Here is a 17749-nt window from a genome sequence, read left to right as displayed (position 1 = left end):
TGGTCTTGAACTCCTGACCTCAGGTGATCCTGCTGCCTCAGCCTCCCAAAGTGCTGGGATTACAGACGTGAGCCACCATGCCTGGCCTCGAAGGTAGCAACCTTTTAGTCAGTTAACTAGTTAACCTAGGAGAGTGAGATGAATTGAGATGGAAGGAAACATTTATTCCTCTATATATCTGGAAGTTGCTTATTTCAGATATATAAACAAATGAGTGTCATCTTCCCTCTCTGGTGTGGGATACTGGGTCTGTACTGAGCAACTTTCCCAGGTCCTTCAGCAGATCTGAGGCAGCTTGTGAAGGTGGAGGTTGTGTACCCCTCCCAAAATCTGGACTAGAAACAAAAGCAGTCGGCATTTGAAACCTTCCAGACAGCATGCCAACTTTGCCATCTGCTCGCCCAGTAGACAACGTGCGTAGGTCTTCCTTCCAATACTAGATCAGAACCCTGAGCTCTTCCAGAGCTTTCTTTCAACTACCTTCTCTGTTGTGTGTATCAAAAGCTAGACTTGGACAAGGAGATTTTAAGAAAACTAACCCCAGTCACTAGTTCTCCAATCATTCAGAGCTGTGAGAATGATTTGGAAAGTTTTTCTAAAAAATAAAATAAAATACACATTCCCATGTTCAATCTTCCATTCAAATTCAGTTAAATTAAGATAAGACCCCAGAATCAATATTTTTGGAACGTTTCCCAGGTGACACTGAAGGGCAGTCAAGTTTAAGAACCAAATGATGCTGTGAACTACATGATGTGTAGGAAGGTTCTAGTTCAAAGAAACTGGCTTTTTATAAAAGACGTAAGGGGCCTATGAGGCCTATGGGGTCTATCTGAAGGAAGAGAAATAACCATGACCTGGAGATACATAGAACAATTCCCAGATCCCTAACAAAATGGCCTGGTAGAAGAGCAGGATGTAGGGTCCCATGAAAGCAGGCTAGGGAGCGAAACAAAGTCGGGACAGTAGGCAACAATTCAAGCTTCACATAAAGGGTAACCATAACTGGTAAAGTGAAGGTTACTTCGGACCCAGCGCTTACCTCCAGTGAGATGAGAATCAGTGCATGGGCATTTTGACTCACTGTAGGACGCTGTGGTTTAGGATCCCTTTGTCCAAATTTAGGAAGATGGATGTCAAACTGGGGAAAGAGATCTTTCTTTTCCTTGCTCTGATTCTTCTGGGTAAAGACCAAGACTTTGAGTATTTCTCACATCTTTTTCGTTCTGTTGCCTAGGCACAGGATCATGGCTCTTTGCAACCTTGACCTCCTGGGCTCAAGTGATCCTCTCAGCTCAGCTTGCGGAGTAGTTAGGACTAAGGCATGCACCAACACATCTGGCTAATTATTTTTCTTAATTTTTTGTAGAGATGGGGGTTATTACTATGTTGCCCGGGCTGGTTTTGAATTCCTGGGCTCGAGGGATCTGCCCACCTTGGCCCCCCAAAGTGCTGGGATTATGGGTGTGAGCCACCGTGCTGGCCTCCCAGCATCTTTCCTCTCGCATAGGAGCCTAAGATTAGCTGGAACAAGACTTTGTCTGTGTGAAAGAGATCCAGACTGATTCTCTGGAATTCTTCAACAGTCGATTGTTGGATTTCTTGCCCTGCCAATGGCTAACATCCAACCAGGCCACTGGGTGAACTGCTCTGTGGTGGGCAGGAAGTAAGATGGGTGCAGAAATTATCAACTCTTCTTTATCTTGCCTGTCTCATGGTAGAAATAAGGAATTGATCCCCCTATCAGTGCCCTTTCTGAATATTCAATTTGGCAGGAACTCAATTATGTTTCTTTCTGATCCCTAACCTTAGAAAGAAGTGCCAAGGAGCTAAAAAATAAAAATAAAAATAAAATCAACAACTCACCTCCAAGACAAAAGGGATTACTATGCACAGGTCCTATGTCTAAATGAGGTTGCTGAGGTGTTGACCATATGAAAGGAAGTTTCCAACTCCACCCCTACACCATGCCCGCTCTTGCCCATCATTTCTTCTGTCCAATAAACCCTTAATTCATACCAAATCATGAATGTCATTCTTCTCATTGCTTTACTCTCCAAATCAGTTGATCACCAAACCCCATCAACTGTTCTCCCTTCAGCTCTGCTGTAACATGCCCTTCATGTGCTCTATCTTCAAACTCAATGCCTATTTAAAGCTGTTGACAGCACGCCACAGAAGGTTCCCGTCCTTGTCCTCAGACGTAATGCATGGTTCCACCAATGCTATGGAACGTAGACATTTTTGATACAGTCTATTATAGTCTTCTTCTATAAGAAAAGTGTAGTTATTTCATAACAGAGCTCCCTTGCCTTCAAGTCTCCCTCATCCAAACTCAGTAGTGTAGCAAGCAGAATAATGTTTCTAAAATGCAAACCCTATCTTGCAAATCCCGTGTTTAAAAAGCCTTCAAGGTGACATATTTCTTCAGCAGTAGCTTTCAAACTGTGCTCTACAAAGTTGCGGCAGTTTCCTGAAACATCTGAAGAAGAGAGAAGGCACTGGGTTGAATTCTAAGACCCTGCCATAATCAGTCAGGTAGCTCTGCTGGTATCCGTTTTATACATTTGGATTCTGGCTCAGATTTTATTTTGAAAGGGATCAACTTCTATTTTTAAACCTGGTCTGCAGAAAAAAGGCAAATTTCCTTAGTTTGGCTCACAAAATTCTACATGGGTTCCTATCTAATTGTTTACTCTCTGCCGTTTACTACTTTTGCTACCATTTCTATGTCCCTTAAAATGTAGTCACTCTTGAATTTTGTCTGTGATTTTGATCTGAAACAATCTATCACCTCTCTGCTTTTATGCACCTAATGTTAGGTATTTTTCTTTACTCTTCAAGACACATTTTAATCACTGCCTTTATGAAGCCTTCCTGCCCTCCCACCCTGCTCCCTCACACTCTCCATTGGCTCACTCAGCCCCTTTCCTGTGCTTCTTTTTATGTGTTTGTCACACTGTCCTTGGTTTTGTGGAGGCCAGTTCACCATCCTAACTTATAAATTCTCAAGAGCAAGGACCAGGGCTTGTTGTGTGTTGCATTTTGGATTACCCCAAGAAGCAGACTGTGGGATGACATTTAGGTACAGGCCATTTAACAAAGGAGCTCCTTTGAGGAACACACTTGTGAAAGTGGAGGTGGGAGAAGAAGCATAATTAGAAAGAAGAAGAAGTCAGATGTGATGGAGACCCAGGGACAGCTTCCATACCTGAGGAATTCTGGAGCTAGCTAGTGGTCGCTGGCAGTTGTCCCAAATTGAAAAGAGATGGCCAGGCATTGATAAACCTGATATTTAGGGACAGATAGTGGCTCTGGGCAGAAAGATCATCTGATGGTGTTCTCAGCACCGGGGACAAACATTTCTTCACTGAAAGGGGATGAGGGTGACATATCAGTGTGTACCACACTCTGCCTACTGCCTATCAATTCTTAGGTTTAAGTAAATGACTGACATAAACATTAATGGAGAGAAGGCAGGGTATGGGGGGATACACACGCTGCATGCCAATAGAAATTTTGTAAACATGGCTCGTGATTAAATAGAAACACATTAAAATATTAAAAACATGATAATAAGAGACATTTCAGTGAAAGGCAGCAACAAGGTGGCTAGATGACATACGGGAGACATCAGGAATGGTTGAAAGCACATGCTCCTCCTCACCTCTTTCTGGTTCTCTGGTGCAGTGACTCTTTGTCCCTGTGAGCTGAAACACGCCCTTTGCAGAAGTCATATGAAAGGGAGGTGTTCTCCAAGGTTCAGGCTGTGGATAGGTGCCAGAATTTTACCTCGTCTCTATTCATCCAGAGGTTCTAAGTTCTGCCCATAATGATCTCATCTCTCCTTTCCTTCAGGAGCCCACAGGCACTGGTGGAAAGACATAGGGAAAGACATGACATTAGAATAGGACAAGAGGGGTGCGGGGGCAGTGACATCAGTTCCTCCAAGACTATCAGAGGAGAGTCACACACTCCGTTCTCCCAGAAGAAGATTCTCTGTGGTGTATTTGGATATCTTTTAAAACCCTGCTACAAAGTCAAACCTCCTTAGCAAGACAGCTTTAGTCTTTTGAATATTATTGGTCCATGGGAAATGGCCCTATTTGTGAACATCTGATTGCTTAGAGGGGTTCTCATTTACAGACCACTAACAAGATGAAAGTGCTAATTTTAAAAGTACTTAGCCTAGATATTTAAGCAGCAGCAGCCCTGTAAGTTTGTAACTGCTGTTTCTGTATTGGTTGTTATACCGGAGCCATTTCATTCTCTTGCATTGAAATGGATCAGATAAATCACATTAGCTGGGTTTACAGAAGCAAGCAATGACAGGTTCCTCAGAACTGAAAGCTAAATAGCCGACTGGGGTCTGACTTTCCTTCATCATGTGCTCTATCTTCAAACTCAATGCCTATTTAAAGCTGCTGATAGCACGCCACGGAAGGTTCCCGTCCTTGTCCTCAGACATAATGCATGGTTCCACCAATGCTATGGAACGTAGACATTTTTGATACAATCTATTAAAAAGAGGGATTGTAGCTAATTCAAATGCAGTAACTTCTAATAAAAAAGTAAAAAGTACATGAAATCACATGCCGCATTTGCAAAGGCAACTGGGTAGAATTCACACAAAGAAGCTCTCTGTTCTGTCACTAAATTATCTGTACTGGGCAGGCAGAATTGATAAGAGAACTCATTTTATGCACACCTCAGGAATAGAACAAGAGTATATCTCATGATCTCCCAGAATAGCAGGGAAGTTCAAATTACTAAGGGGAATAAAGCTCCTGTATGCTTTTAGATGTGGCCATTTTGAATTCCCCCTTTATGTTGTTGCAAAAGCCTCTCCTGCAGCCCCTGGGGTGCAGGTTACCTGTTTATATATAGCCTCACTCTCTTGTCAAGGTGAACCCTCACACCTCACTGAGCACTATCATCTCATGAGACAAATACACTGAAATTGTGCAAGAAACCAAAATGAGCCTAAGATGACTTTATGTAGCATAGTATTTTGCAACATGGTATTTCAGGACAGTTTATCTATGTTACGTGATTAAATGGTTTAAGTGTGTCACTTATTTACTTTCCTACATTGAGGTCAAATTCAATAATGAGTAAATGGAAAAGCAGCTACTTTTTATAATGACTTTACATAATTCATTTTTTAATCAGACACAAGAATAGGAAAGTAGAGGGAAAAGAAGACAAAAATGCTAGAGAAAATTATCAGAAGATTTTGATAAATAAGAAAACAAAACTAAAAATGACTAAAGGTAACAGATTGAAGAGGGAAAATATCACTGTGTGCAGATTATAGAAAGTTGGAAATACAAATATAGAGATCTAAATCTAAATCTGTTTATTGAAAACAAGAAAGTTGAATAAAGGCAAAAGAGGGCCATCCAGAAAGTTCCCATAAAACATAAAGCAGCAAGTCTGTTGCTCAGGAGGACTGAAAAATAATAAATCCCAGTCTTGAATTTGCCACTCACTAACTCTGTGACCTGCACAAATCTTTTCAATCTTTTGATCTTAATCTTCCTTATTCATAAAATTGTAATTATAATAGTATCTTCCTCATGGGCTTTTATAAGAGATATGGATAGTATATTGTTTAATGTCTCAAATATCATGATTAAAAACTGCAGCTAGCAAAACCAGAAGTGGAAGTAATGTGGTAAGTTAAGCAATGGTGATAGAGGTCGTAACTTTTAAGTAACATTTAATTATTTTTAAATGAGTTGACCAGTGTCTTAATTACAAGTGCAATTATGCAATATCATGATTATAAAATTATTAAAAGAGAAATGACAACATTGATTATAATATCCATTTAACAAAAGGAAACTTAAGAAGTAAAATCTTGTCATTGAATAATTCTAAAGGACCATTACAGAACTCAATTTAAGAATCATGGAAAGGATTTTTGCAAAGAAAAACTCAACCTTCTTATTTTCAACTGGTGATTCTTTCACTTGCTCAATGAAGTGAATTAGACAGAGACACTCCACTGTAGAGAGCACAGGCTGATGGCAAAGGAAAAATGCAGATAATAAAATAAAAGCTTTGAGTGCTCTAGTCAAATACTACAAGTGACAAGGGAGAAGCCACTTATTTTAGCTTAGGTTTTAGGAGAAAAAGGGGAGATGACTTTTGCACAAAAATCTTGAATGAGTATATATGCAACAGGTAAAGAGGAGGGAATGTTCATTAACACATAGGGTATGGCACTTGCTAATGTACAGAGTTGGAAGAGAGGACCCCAAGTTTGTGAAAGATTTCTAAGTTTGCTACGGCTGTGGTGTAAATACGCTGGGAAAACAGGAGGCTGCAGAGGTAGGGAGAGCTTGAGAATGAAGCCATGATTGTGTGTCCTACTTAAGAAAGTTAATCTCATTTTAAAGACACTGAGAGCCAGGGAGTGACTCAACATGTTGCATGAAGAATGGAGCAGCTCCAGTTCTGATCCAGCACACAGGAGGCTTGAAAGTCAACACCCTATCCCAGCAGCAAACAAAAGACTGAACAAACTAAAAAATCAACAACTCTTCTCACATCGATAAGGGAAATGAGGTCATAGGGCAAACTACTGTTCCTCAAATTGGAGAGAAAGATAGGCAAATAGAGATTTACAACTTACCAGAGCAAAAATCCACAAGCAGAAGCTTCTGTAGGAATCAGTGCCAGGGTGGGAAAACCCAAATTGTAATTCACAAATTGCTAAAGGCTAAGTTTGAGTAATTGTGAGAGTTAAAAACAAAAAGGGGACCCAGTCATAGGAGTATTTCCACACTTTGTGAGTTTTACCAATAGAAATTTGACCCAGGTTCTTATAGTAAATATCGGAGAAAAAAATCCCCTTGTGCTTCCAACAGAGGGAGGAGAAAAGTAGCCATTTTAAAATATGCCAGAATATTATGTTCTTTTTTTTATAGGATCTTCCCTCAGGAGAACTATTTAGCCAGATCCTAACCTGTTGGGGCTTTATCAGAGCCTCACTGAGCTGGAGGAAAGGAAATACCAACTCCAGCCAGCTGCAATCTTTCACATGGAGGAAGGAAAACACCTAACTCTGGACCCACTATTTATTCTGTACCACCTAAGAAAGTGAAAAAAACAAAACTAAACTAAAGCATACTTGTGAATGAGCCAGAGGCACAAAATCATTAAAAGACTAAGACCTAATTAATTATAGGACTACAGAATGTTTTCTTCCCCATACACTTTACCACCACATTACTAAAGGCTTACATACAGCAAGTTCTTTCTACCCAGTATATCATGTACAGCTATCAAGACAAAGTTGCAAGTTTGTAAGGCATATTATCTTAGTCTGCTTAGTGTTGCTATAAGAGAATACCTGCAGCAGGGTAGTTTATAAAGAAAAGAGGTTTATTTGGCTCATGATTCTGGTGACTGAAAAGTTCAAGATCAAGCAGCTGTATCTAGTGAGGGCCTTATACAGTTTCAACTCTGGGTGGAAAGCAGAAGGGGAGGAGGTATGTGCAAACAGGCAAAAGACAAACTAAGAGAAAGAAACTGAGGAATCCAGGCTCTTTTTAACATCCCTTTTCTCTTGGAAGCTAATGCTTTCTCTTGAGAGTAAAAACTCACTCACCCTTAAGGGAGGGCATTTAATCTATTCATGAGGGGTGTACTTCCATGACCCAAATAGCCCCCACTAGTTTGTACCTCCCAACACTATCATACTGGAAATCAAATTTCACCATGAGTTTTGGTGGGGAAAAACCACATGCAAATTATATAATATACTAAAGAGCAGAAAACAGTTTAAAGAGACAGAACACCCAAAACAGACTCAGATATGGCAGGAATGCTAAAATCATCAGACTGTGAATTTCACACAACTGCCATTAATATTCCAAGGCTTCCAATGGATAAAGTAGACTTCATGCAAGAACAGAAGGGCAATGTAGGCAGAGATGTGGAAATTCTAAGAAAGAGTCAGAAAGAAATGCTAGAGGTAAAAAACATGGTAACAGAAATGAATGTCTTATAGGCTTATTAGGTGACTGGAAATGACTAAAGAAACAATCCCTAAGCTTGATGATATAACAACAGAAACTTTCAAAACTGAAAAGCAAAGATAAAAAAGACAAAACAAAAACTCACCAAAATATATAAGACTGTGAGACAATTACAAAAGGCATAACATATGCATATTGATAATACCGTAAGGAAAAGGAAGAGAGAATGGGACAGATAAATATTTGAAACCACAATACTATTTTCTCCCAAATAATGTCAGATGCCAAACCACAAATACAGAAGCTCAGAAAACTTCAAGCAGGATAAATGCAACAGCAACAACAACAAAAAATACTCTTATTATATTCAATTTGCAGAAAATGAAACATAAAGAATAATTCTTGAAAGATACCAGGAGGAAAAAAGTCAGCTTAACTATAGAGGAACAAAAATAAATATTACCTCTAGCTTCTCAAAAATTATGGAAGCAGAAAAAGAGTGGAGTGAAATATTTAAAGTGTTCTGAAAACCACTTGAGTTTTGTACCCTGTTAAATTATCCTACAAGAGCAAAGTAGGAATAAATACTTTCTCAGACAAACAAAAATTGAGAAAATATATTGCCAAAACAACTGTCTTCAAGAAATGTTAAAATAAATTCTTTATGGAGAAGGGAGAGAATATAGGTTGGAAACTCAGGTCTACATTGAAAAAAGAAAAAGCATTAAAGAAGGAATAAATGAAGGTAAAATAAAAAACATTTATGTTCTATTCTCAATTGATCTAACAGTAGATTGTTCAAAAACAGTATATTTGATTATTTATTACATGTATGTATATATGTTTGTATATGCTTATGTATAAGTAAAATTGAATGACAGCAATGATAAAATGGACAGGAGGGAGAAATTAGAATTATTTTATTATTATAAGGTGCTCTCACTAGCCATGATATAGTATAGTGTTATTCGAAAATGAACTTGGATTCATTGTAAATGTATATTGTAAATTCTAGCGCAACCACTAATGGAAATTTTTTAAAAACATGTAACTGATATTCCAAGAAAGAGGAGAAAATAGAGTAATAAAATGCACAATTAAAATTACAAAGGCAGAAAAAGACTGAAAGACAAAAATAGAAAAAAATAAGAAACAAGGACAACACATACAAAACATTCCAAATATATTAGCTATTTATTTAACTCTATCAGTAATAAATTTAAACATCAGTGGTCTAAATACATCAATTAAAAGGCAGAGATTGTCACAGTGGATCAAAAACAAGATCCGTCATTCTCAGCAAACTATCGCAAGGAAAAAAACCAAACACCGCATGTTCTCACTCATAGGTGGGAATTGAACAACGAGAACACATGGACACAGGAAGGGGAACATCACACACCGGGGCCTGTTGTGGGGTGGGGGGAGGGGAGAGGGATAGCATTAGGAGATATACCTAATGTTAAATGAAGAGTTAATGGGTGCAGCACACCAACATGGCACATGTATACATATGTAACAAACCTGCACTTTGTGCACACGTACCCTAAAACTTAAAGTATAATTAAAAAAAAAAGTTGCTAAAAAAAAAAGATCCAACTGTATGTTATCTATATGAAACACACTTTTAATATAAAGATATAAATGGATTAAGTGTAAATTCATCGAGAAAGATAATACCATGCTAATACTAATAAAAAGAAAGCAGGAGTACCTGTATTAGTTTTAGATAGGACCAATTTCAGAGCAAGAAATGTTATCAGGGATAAAGAGGCATTACATAACAATAACAACAAAAGATCAGTTTGCCGAGAATACATAACTCTCCTAAATATATTGGCCTAACAAATACATGTTTAAAAAATTAGGTAAAAACTGATAAAACTGTAAGAAGAAATAGCTAAATCAACTGTTAGAGTTGGAGACTTCAACACCCCTCTGTCAGAAATAGACAAATTCAGCAGTCAGAAAACTGGTAAGGATATAGTACAACTCAACATCATCATTAATTAACTGAATTTAATTGACATCTTAAGACTACTACATTCAACAATAGCAGAATACACACTTCTCACGCTCACATGGAACATTCACCAAAATAGACCACATTCTGTGTTATAAAACACACCTTAACAAATTTAAAATTTAAAAATTTTAATCTGTTTAAAATAGATCAAAGACAAAATGTCAATCAAAATAAAAAAAAACTTCGAACTAAATGAAAATGAAATCACAATGTATCAAAATTTGTGGAATATAGTGAAAGCAATGCTTAGAGGGAAATTTATAGCATTGAATGAATATATTAGAAAAAGGAAGATCTAAAATCAATGGTTTAAACTAGCACTGTAGGAAACTAAAGAAAAGCAAAAAAATTAATAAGCCTCTACTATGGCTAAGTAAGAAAGAAAAGAAAAAAAACAAACTACCAATATCAAAAATGGAAGAGGTGACATTACTCCAGATCCCATGGACATTAAAATGATATAAAAGAAATAACATGAATAGTCTAGAACCACAAATTTGATAACCTAGATGAAAAGAACCAGCTCCTTGAAAGTTATAACCTGCCAATACACATAGGAAGAAATAGGCAATGTGAAGAGGCCTACATTTATTTTTTTAAATTGAATCAATAATTAATAACTTTTCAAAAGAGAAAGTGTGAAGCCCAGATGGGTCCACTGGTAAATTCCATCAAGTATTTAAGAAAAAAATACCAATTCTTTACAATACCTTTCAGAAGATAGAAACAGCTGGAATACTACCTAAATAATTCCCCATGAGGCCAGCATTATCCTAATACCAAAACCAGACAAAGACAAGACAAAGAAAACTACAGCCCAATATCTCTCATGAACATAGATGCAAAAATCCTTAACAAAATATTAGCAAATCAAATTTAATAATATAAAAAAAGTATACACCACAATCACGTGGGATTTATTCCAGGTATGAAAGACTGGTTAACATTCAAAAATCAATTAATGTAGTTCATCACATCCATAAACAGGCTATAGAAGGAAAACTGCATGATTATATCAATAAATGCAGAAAAAGCATTTGAAAAAGTCTAACATCCATTCATGATAAACATTATAAGTACACTGGGAATAGAGGGTAACTTTCTCAAGTTGATAAAGAATATCTACAAAAACCCTACAACTAACATCATGCTTAATAGTAAGAAACTCAAAGCTTTCCCACTAAGATCAGGTACAAGGCAAGGATCTTTTCTTTTTACCATGTTTTTTCAACGTCATACTGAATATCTTAGCTAATGCAATGAGACAAGAAATGGAAGCAAAAAAACCCATACTAACAGGGAAGGAAGAAGTCAACATTTTTCTTTGCATATGGCATGATTGTCTATATAGACAATCCAAAAGAATCAACAAAATAAAACTCCTGAAACTAACAAATAATTATAGCAAATTTAGGAAATATGAGGTTAATATATGAAAGTCATAACTTTCTCATATAACAATGAACAAGTGGGATTTTATATTAAAAAATCTTATCATTTATATTAACATTCCTCAAAAATAAAATGCTTAAGTATAAATTTATGAAAACACATACTAGAATTGTATGAGAAATACTACAAAGCCTTGATGAAAAAAACAAGAAGAACTAAATAAATGGAGAGATATTCCATGTTCATGGATAAGAAGACTCAATATTTTCAAGATGTTATTCTTAACTTGATTTATAGGTTCAGTGCAGTCCTAATCAAAATCTTAGCAACTTATTTTGTGGATATCAAGAAACTGATTCTAAAGTTTATACAGAGAGGCAAAGACCCAGAACAACCAACACGGCATTGAAAAAGAAGAACAAAGTTTTAAGACTGACACTGCTCAACTTTAAGATTTATTATAAAGTTATAATCATCAAGAGAGTGTGGTATTGATGAAAGAATAGAGAAATAGATCACTGGAACAGAATAGAGAGATTAGGAGTAGACACACATAAATATATTCGACTGATCTTTGACAAAGAGTAAGGATAATACAATGGAGAAGAAATCGTATTTTCAACAAATGGTGCTGGAACAATTGGATATCCACATGCAAAAATTACATAAAATGAATCTAGACAAAGACCATACATCCTTCACAAAAATTAACTCAGTACGTATTACACATCTGAATATGAAATGTAAAACTATAAAATTCTTAGAAGAGAACATAGGAAAAAATCTAGTATGACCTTGGGTTTGGTGATGACTTTTTAGGTGCAACACAAAAGCCACAATTTTGAAAGAAAAAATGGATAAGCTATACTTTATTGCAATTAATATTTTTGCTCTGTGAATTCATTGTCAAGAGAGTGAATAGACAAGCCACAAACTGGGAGGAAATATTTGCAGAAAGAAATCTCTGATAACGGACCGCTACCCCAAATATACAAAAAACTCTTAAAACTAAATTGTAAGAAAATAAACAATTCAATAAAAGTGTCCTAAAATCTTAACCAACACCTTGCCAAAGAAGATACACAGATGTCATGTAAGCATATGAAAAGATACTCCACATCATATATAATTAGGGAAATGTAAATTCAAACAATGAAATACTGCTACACACCTATTAGAATGTCCAAAATTCAGAACATTGACAACATGAAATTCTGATGAGGATTTGGTACTCCAAATCTCATACATTGGGAACTCACATATATTGCTGATGGGAATGCAAAATGGCACAGCCACTTTCTAAGCCAGTTTGGCAGTTTCTTACAAAACTAAACATACTTTTACCATATAATCCAGTAATCATGTTCCTTGACACTGATCCAAATGAATTGAACGCTTATGTCCACAAAAATACTTGCACATGGGGTTTATAGCAGGTTCATTTATAATTAACAAAACTTGGAGGCAACCAAGGTGTCCTTCAGTAGGTAAATGCACAAACTGGTAATCTAGACAATAGAATACTATTTAATACAAAAAAAAAAAACTTTAAGCCATGTAAAGACATGGGGGAAACATAAATGCACATTACTAAGTAAAAGAAGCCAATCTGAAAAGGTTACATAAGATATGATTCTAGGTAAATGGCATTCTGGAAAAGGCAAAACTGTGGAGACAGAAAAAAATGTAATTGTTCCCAGGGGCTGGGGAGAGGGAATGATGAATGGTGGATCACAGGGGATTTTTTGGGGAAGTGAAACTGTTCTGTATGATACTATAATGGTGAATACAGGCCATTACAGATTTATCCAAAGCCATGGCATGTATGAATTTGGGGTGCTAATGATGTGTCAATATAGGTTCATCAATTGTAACAAATTTCCCACTCTGGTAAAAGATGTTGATAGTGGGAGGTTATGTATATGTGAGGGCAGGGAAAATATGGCAAATACCTGCACCTTCTGTTCAATTTTACTAGAAACCCAAAACATAATTAAAATATTTATTTAAAAAAGGGGGTCAGAGTTGCAAGACACTGCTGGCAACTGCAATTGCACACATGTGAAATAATAATGAATACTTGACAATAGAGGCCTTAAAACTCCACAGCGAAACTGAGATCAGGGCTGGAGAGTGTGGTTACATATAGGAGTCATATCTCAAATAGAACCTAGAGAATTAGGCATGGAGTATAGGAAGTGCAAGGTAGAAATGAGGGTAGTTCCTGAGACTCTAGTACTCTTTCTTGGAAGCCTGAGATTTTAAACCTACATTAACTTACATGGCAATAGAAACAAACGTAGGAGTAGGATTGGCTCAGTTGGTGAAAGCAATGTCATCTCAAAGTACTACAATGCTCTCCATTGCACTGGTGAGAATATTAGCAACTTTGAGTGCATTAACTTAAATAGTTCTCAAAAGAATGTGGTATATTAAGCACTAGCATACTCATTTATTAGAGGAAATATGGTTAGAGTGGTTAAATAACTCCCAAAACCACTCTGTCCTCTTCCTCGAGACTCTAGGCTTGAAGTCATCCTTTGAGGTTCATGTTTTCATTTGTTGACTTGGGTATTTTTGGGAGAGAACAAGTGTTTCTTTCTTGTTCTAAAGTCTAGGAAAATGGATTCTGCCAACTGAGGGAATCAAGGGTCAACTGGAGTACTGAAATTAAATGTGTAATTCATTACTTGCTAGTCCAGAACAGGGTTGAAGGTAGAGCTTGTTCACTAACACCTGGGTCTACAATGAATGTTCCTGCCGGCTGCAATTCTCTCTGGGAGAATATTGAGTAATAGATCAATCCAATAATCTCTATGAGTGTGACACCAAATCTGAAGCAAAATGGGCACAAATCTGGAAAGGAATTAAGATGCAGAAAGAGGAAAGAGAGCAGAGATCCAGGTGTGAGAATACCTGAATGTGCTGGAAGCAGGAATTGAGCAAGTCACTTGCATCTCTAAGCTTCTGCTTTATCAGCTACAATACAAGGAGGACACCTTCTTTGCCCAACTGCTACATGATCCATGTGGAACACCTCATGTGTGTAAAGCAATGGTGCATCCAGGGGCCCCTGCTGCTAGACTATGACTCTGGACTCAGGATTTTGCCTCTGCCTTTTCCTGGCCAACCTTTCTTAGCTCCTCACTGTAAATTAAGGTAAGACATTTCAGAAAGTCTTCCATGACTCTAACACTTTAAAGCTCTCATTGTCTAGGCAGTGAATGAGGTAAGGCGTTGCATTGTTAAATGCCAAATACCAACTGTGTAGGAGAAAAAAAAACTGCCACCTTATTTAGGATAGCAATTATTATGAGGAGTAAGTTGCACTTTGAAACAGAAATGATTTTATGTTGATCCTTTCCCTATGAGCATCAGGGGCTGAGCTAGGAAGGAGTCCTCAGCCAGGTTTTCAGGCTGTTGAGAGCACATTTTTCCCCTGCAGCAGAAATGTGGCAAAAAGAGAAGAACAAAAGCAATATAGGACCTCAGTTTTCATAATTAAAAACAGATCCCCAAACACTGATGCTGAGCATGAATTCTGAGCAAATGAAGTAAGTATTAAAACAGTAATGCTCATGATATCTGCTTAGTGGCCACCAAATGTACAACTACTCTTTCGCAGTTACCATCTCAGAGATACAGTATACATTGGGACTAAGTGTTCTCATGACTACCTTTAGGCTAAGCAGTTTCACCAGGAATTATGGAATGAAAAATATCAGCCTATCTCTAGCTCTTCTCTACTCAAGAATCTTGGTGTGTTTTTTTTGGTTTTTTTCTTTTTTAATTTTGCCTGCTATTCTGCAGTGAGAGAGACTTTCAGAAATATTCAATACTTTCTATCCTGGTACTAGGAAAATGAGGATATAGAAATTTCATTCGAATGAACTTTCCAGGGATTTATAGCCTCTGGAGTTACTATAGTAAGTGTGTATCTTCTGATGAGTAATCCACAGGAAAATCACTGGGCTGAAGAGTTCAGTGCTTGAATATTGTGTCTGAAATTACAACAAAATTTAAAGAACTCTTTGAAAAATCTTGTAGAGGATTTATCAATAGTAATGCAAATTCAACTTTTGATAAAAGACAGAGCTCTCAACAAACATGATAAAAATGAGCCAAAGGTACCCAAGCCAGCTGACATTTGTTTATGATGGAAGGATTAAGTTTAATTCACTTTTGTTCTTAAATGTTCACATTTACAACAACCAAAATAACATGTATTTAACTAATGTATAATTTGAAAAAGCTTTCATATAGTATGTTAAATGTAAATGTCTATTACCTCATTTGATATAACACATGTACTTTAAGAAGTTCTTGTAAACTAATATTTAGTGAATTAATCAGTGGTTTACTTCTTCATTCTGGGGCCAGTGTGGGTCTTCAATTGAGTGTTAGGTGATAAGGAAATGCATGCTGCACACAGAGCTCAAGGATCTCATTATCACACACTTCGTATTGCTAGATGTGTTGCTTTGGGAAGGCCGTGACCTTCTCTCTGGGACTCAGTTTCCTTGCCTTATGGAACAAAGGAGCCAGTGCAGGCTGACATTTAGGCCCTCGGGAGCTTCCTCAGGATGAAATGACCCATTGGGTCTCCCATGTGGTGAGCCTCGGTTAGCAGAAGCCAGGGCTTGCTACCCAGGGCATTAACTACACATAGTGGTCTCCATCAGTGGAAGAGTGAGCGCAAAGGCCTTCATCCTCCAAGATGGCCTGCATACACATGGATGTCCCCAAGTTCAGTGGCACCACCGTTAGTCTAGTGCTGTGCCCTTGAGCCGGGCAGGCCCTTCAGCTTCCCAAGCCTTCATTTCCCATCTGCCCAGTGGAGATAAGAACACCTGCCAGGGCTGTGCATCCTGTGAAATACGTGAGATGATGTGTGTCAATCCAGGGCACAGGACTTGGCCCCTAGCACCAGCTTGGAAAATGAAAATTCTTCCATTCAGGGTCCCAGGGGGTAGAAAGTAAGAAAATATAACAATAAAGGAGGGAGGGGGAAGGAAAGATAGATTGCCATTCTTTAAATAAAATCAGGGAGCGAGGTGTGAGAAAAATAGAGAAAGGCAGAGAGTATGAGAGAGAGGAATAGCTACAGGCACTTGGAATAGTGCTGCAAGATTCTCATAAGTAAAAGCTTCTCTTAAAATATTGGAGTTCCTCCATATGGGAAGCTTGGGGAGAGAAGAGAAAAAATTAAATTAAAGCATTTGAAAGTATATTATAGTTTTATCTCTTTGGCTCTGCGATTTCAGAAATAATATAATCCTATGGAAAACATGCTGCCAGAGGATTTTGTATAGTGGCGCCCCGACAGGATGGGACTGAATGATGTCAAAAAAGCTTATATAACAGTTTTGTTTTATTCATTTACATAAATCACATTTACCGTAGGTGTTTTATTCAAAATAAAGTTTGGGAAAAATAAATTGAACAGATGAACCTAGGCAAACCTGGTGATTTTTTCATGAGTAGTGTTTGATGATAAAGGCATAAAAGCATAATGTGGTATCATTTCACCAAGGCACAATATGGATCACCCATATGGAGCAGAAGTTGATAATACTGCAAAGAAGCAAAAATAAACAGAACAGATGTACTTGTAAAATCAAGTCTGCACCCACCCCTGAGTACCTGCCTTGTACTGGAGAAGTTTCTACTAAAACTCCAAACTGGCTTCAAGTCCCCTTCCCACAGAGACGCTTGGGAAGCCAGAGATGAAATCTCATATGACCAAACAGAAATGAGAAAAGGTTTTCTAAAGCAGCAAGCTCCCAAGAAAGACTGAACCAGAGCCTGCTGGATCCCCCAAAGAAAGCCGACCACTGACAATGCCTCAGTTGTCAGGATCAGAAGGCATGGGTTCCAATCCCGACTCCTCCTAGCTGAGTCTTGGAGAAATCTTCAAATTTCTAAGCATTGGTTCATCAAAGGTGAAGTCTCAGAGGTGTTACCTACTTCACAGGGATATTGTCAAGCTTAAATGAGAAATGCAGGGAGGAAAAAAAAAATGCAACGCCAAAAGCACCAGACAGACCGAATTCGGTCTACATGGTTTTGTTCCAGGCCTTTTCTGAGGGAAATGCCAAAGAGGATGTGATATAAAGTGTTCTTGTTTTAACAAAGAGGTAAGGTCTTTGGGAAGTCTAGGTTTATTGTCTGATAAAGATTCTATGTAGAATCATAATATTCCTGAGAGTATGTCAGCCTTAGACTATTCGTAATATTAGTAACATGTACATAAAACTTTATAATTTCCAAGGCAGTTTCTCAAATGGATTTTCTTCTGACCCCACCTAACCCTGTAAGGTGGGCAATGCGGGGAATAATCCCC

The 17749-nt window shown here is 37.5% G+C and overlaps 1 long non-coding RNA gene across 1 annotated transcript in view; it reads right to left on the bottom strand.

Moving 5' to 3' along the window:
• LOC100506274 (uncharacterized) overlaps positions 1-3794 on the bottom strand; it is a 28994-nt gene extending 25200 nt beyond the window's left edge. Inside the window, exon 1 of the long non-coding RNA NR_038432.1 lies at positions 3668-3794. This is a non-coding gene — a long non-coding RNA (uncharacterized LOC100506274). The remainder of the gene's footprint in view (positions 1-3667) is intronic.
• Between the last annotated feature and the right edge of the window lie 13955 nt (positions 3795-17749).

The sequence above is a fragment of the Homo sapiens genome, chromosome 2 (genome assembly GCF_000001405.40).
Source record: "Homo sapiens chromosome 2, GRCh38.p14 Primary Assembly".
Lineage (NCBI taxonomy): Eukaryota > Metazoa > Chordata > Mammalia > Primates > Hominidae > Homo > Homo sapiens.
This window is presented reverse-complemented; position numbering and strand designations above follow the sequence as displayed.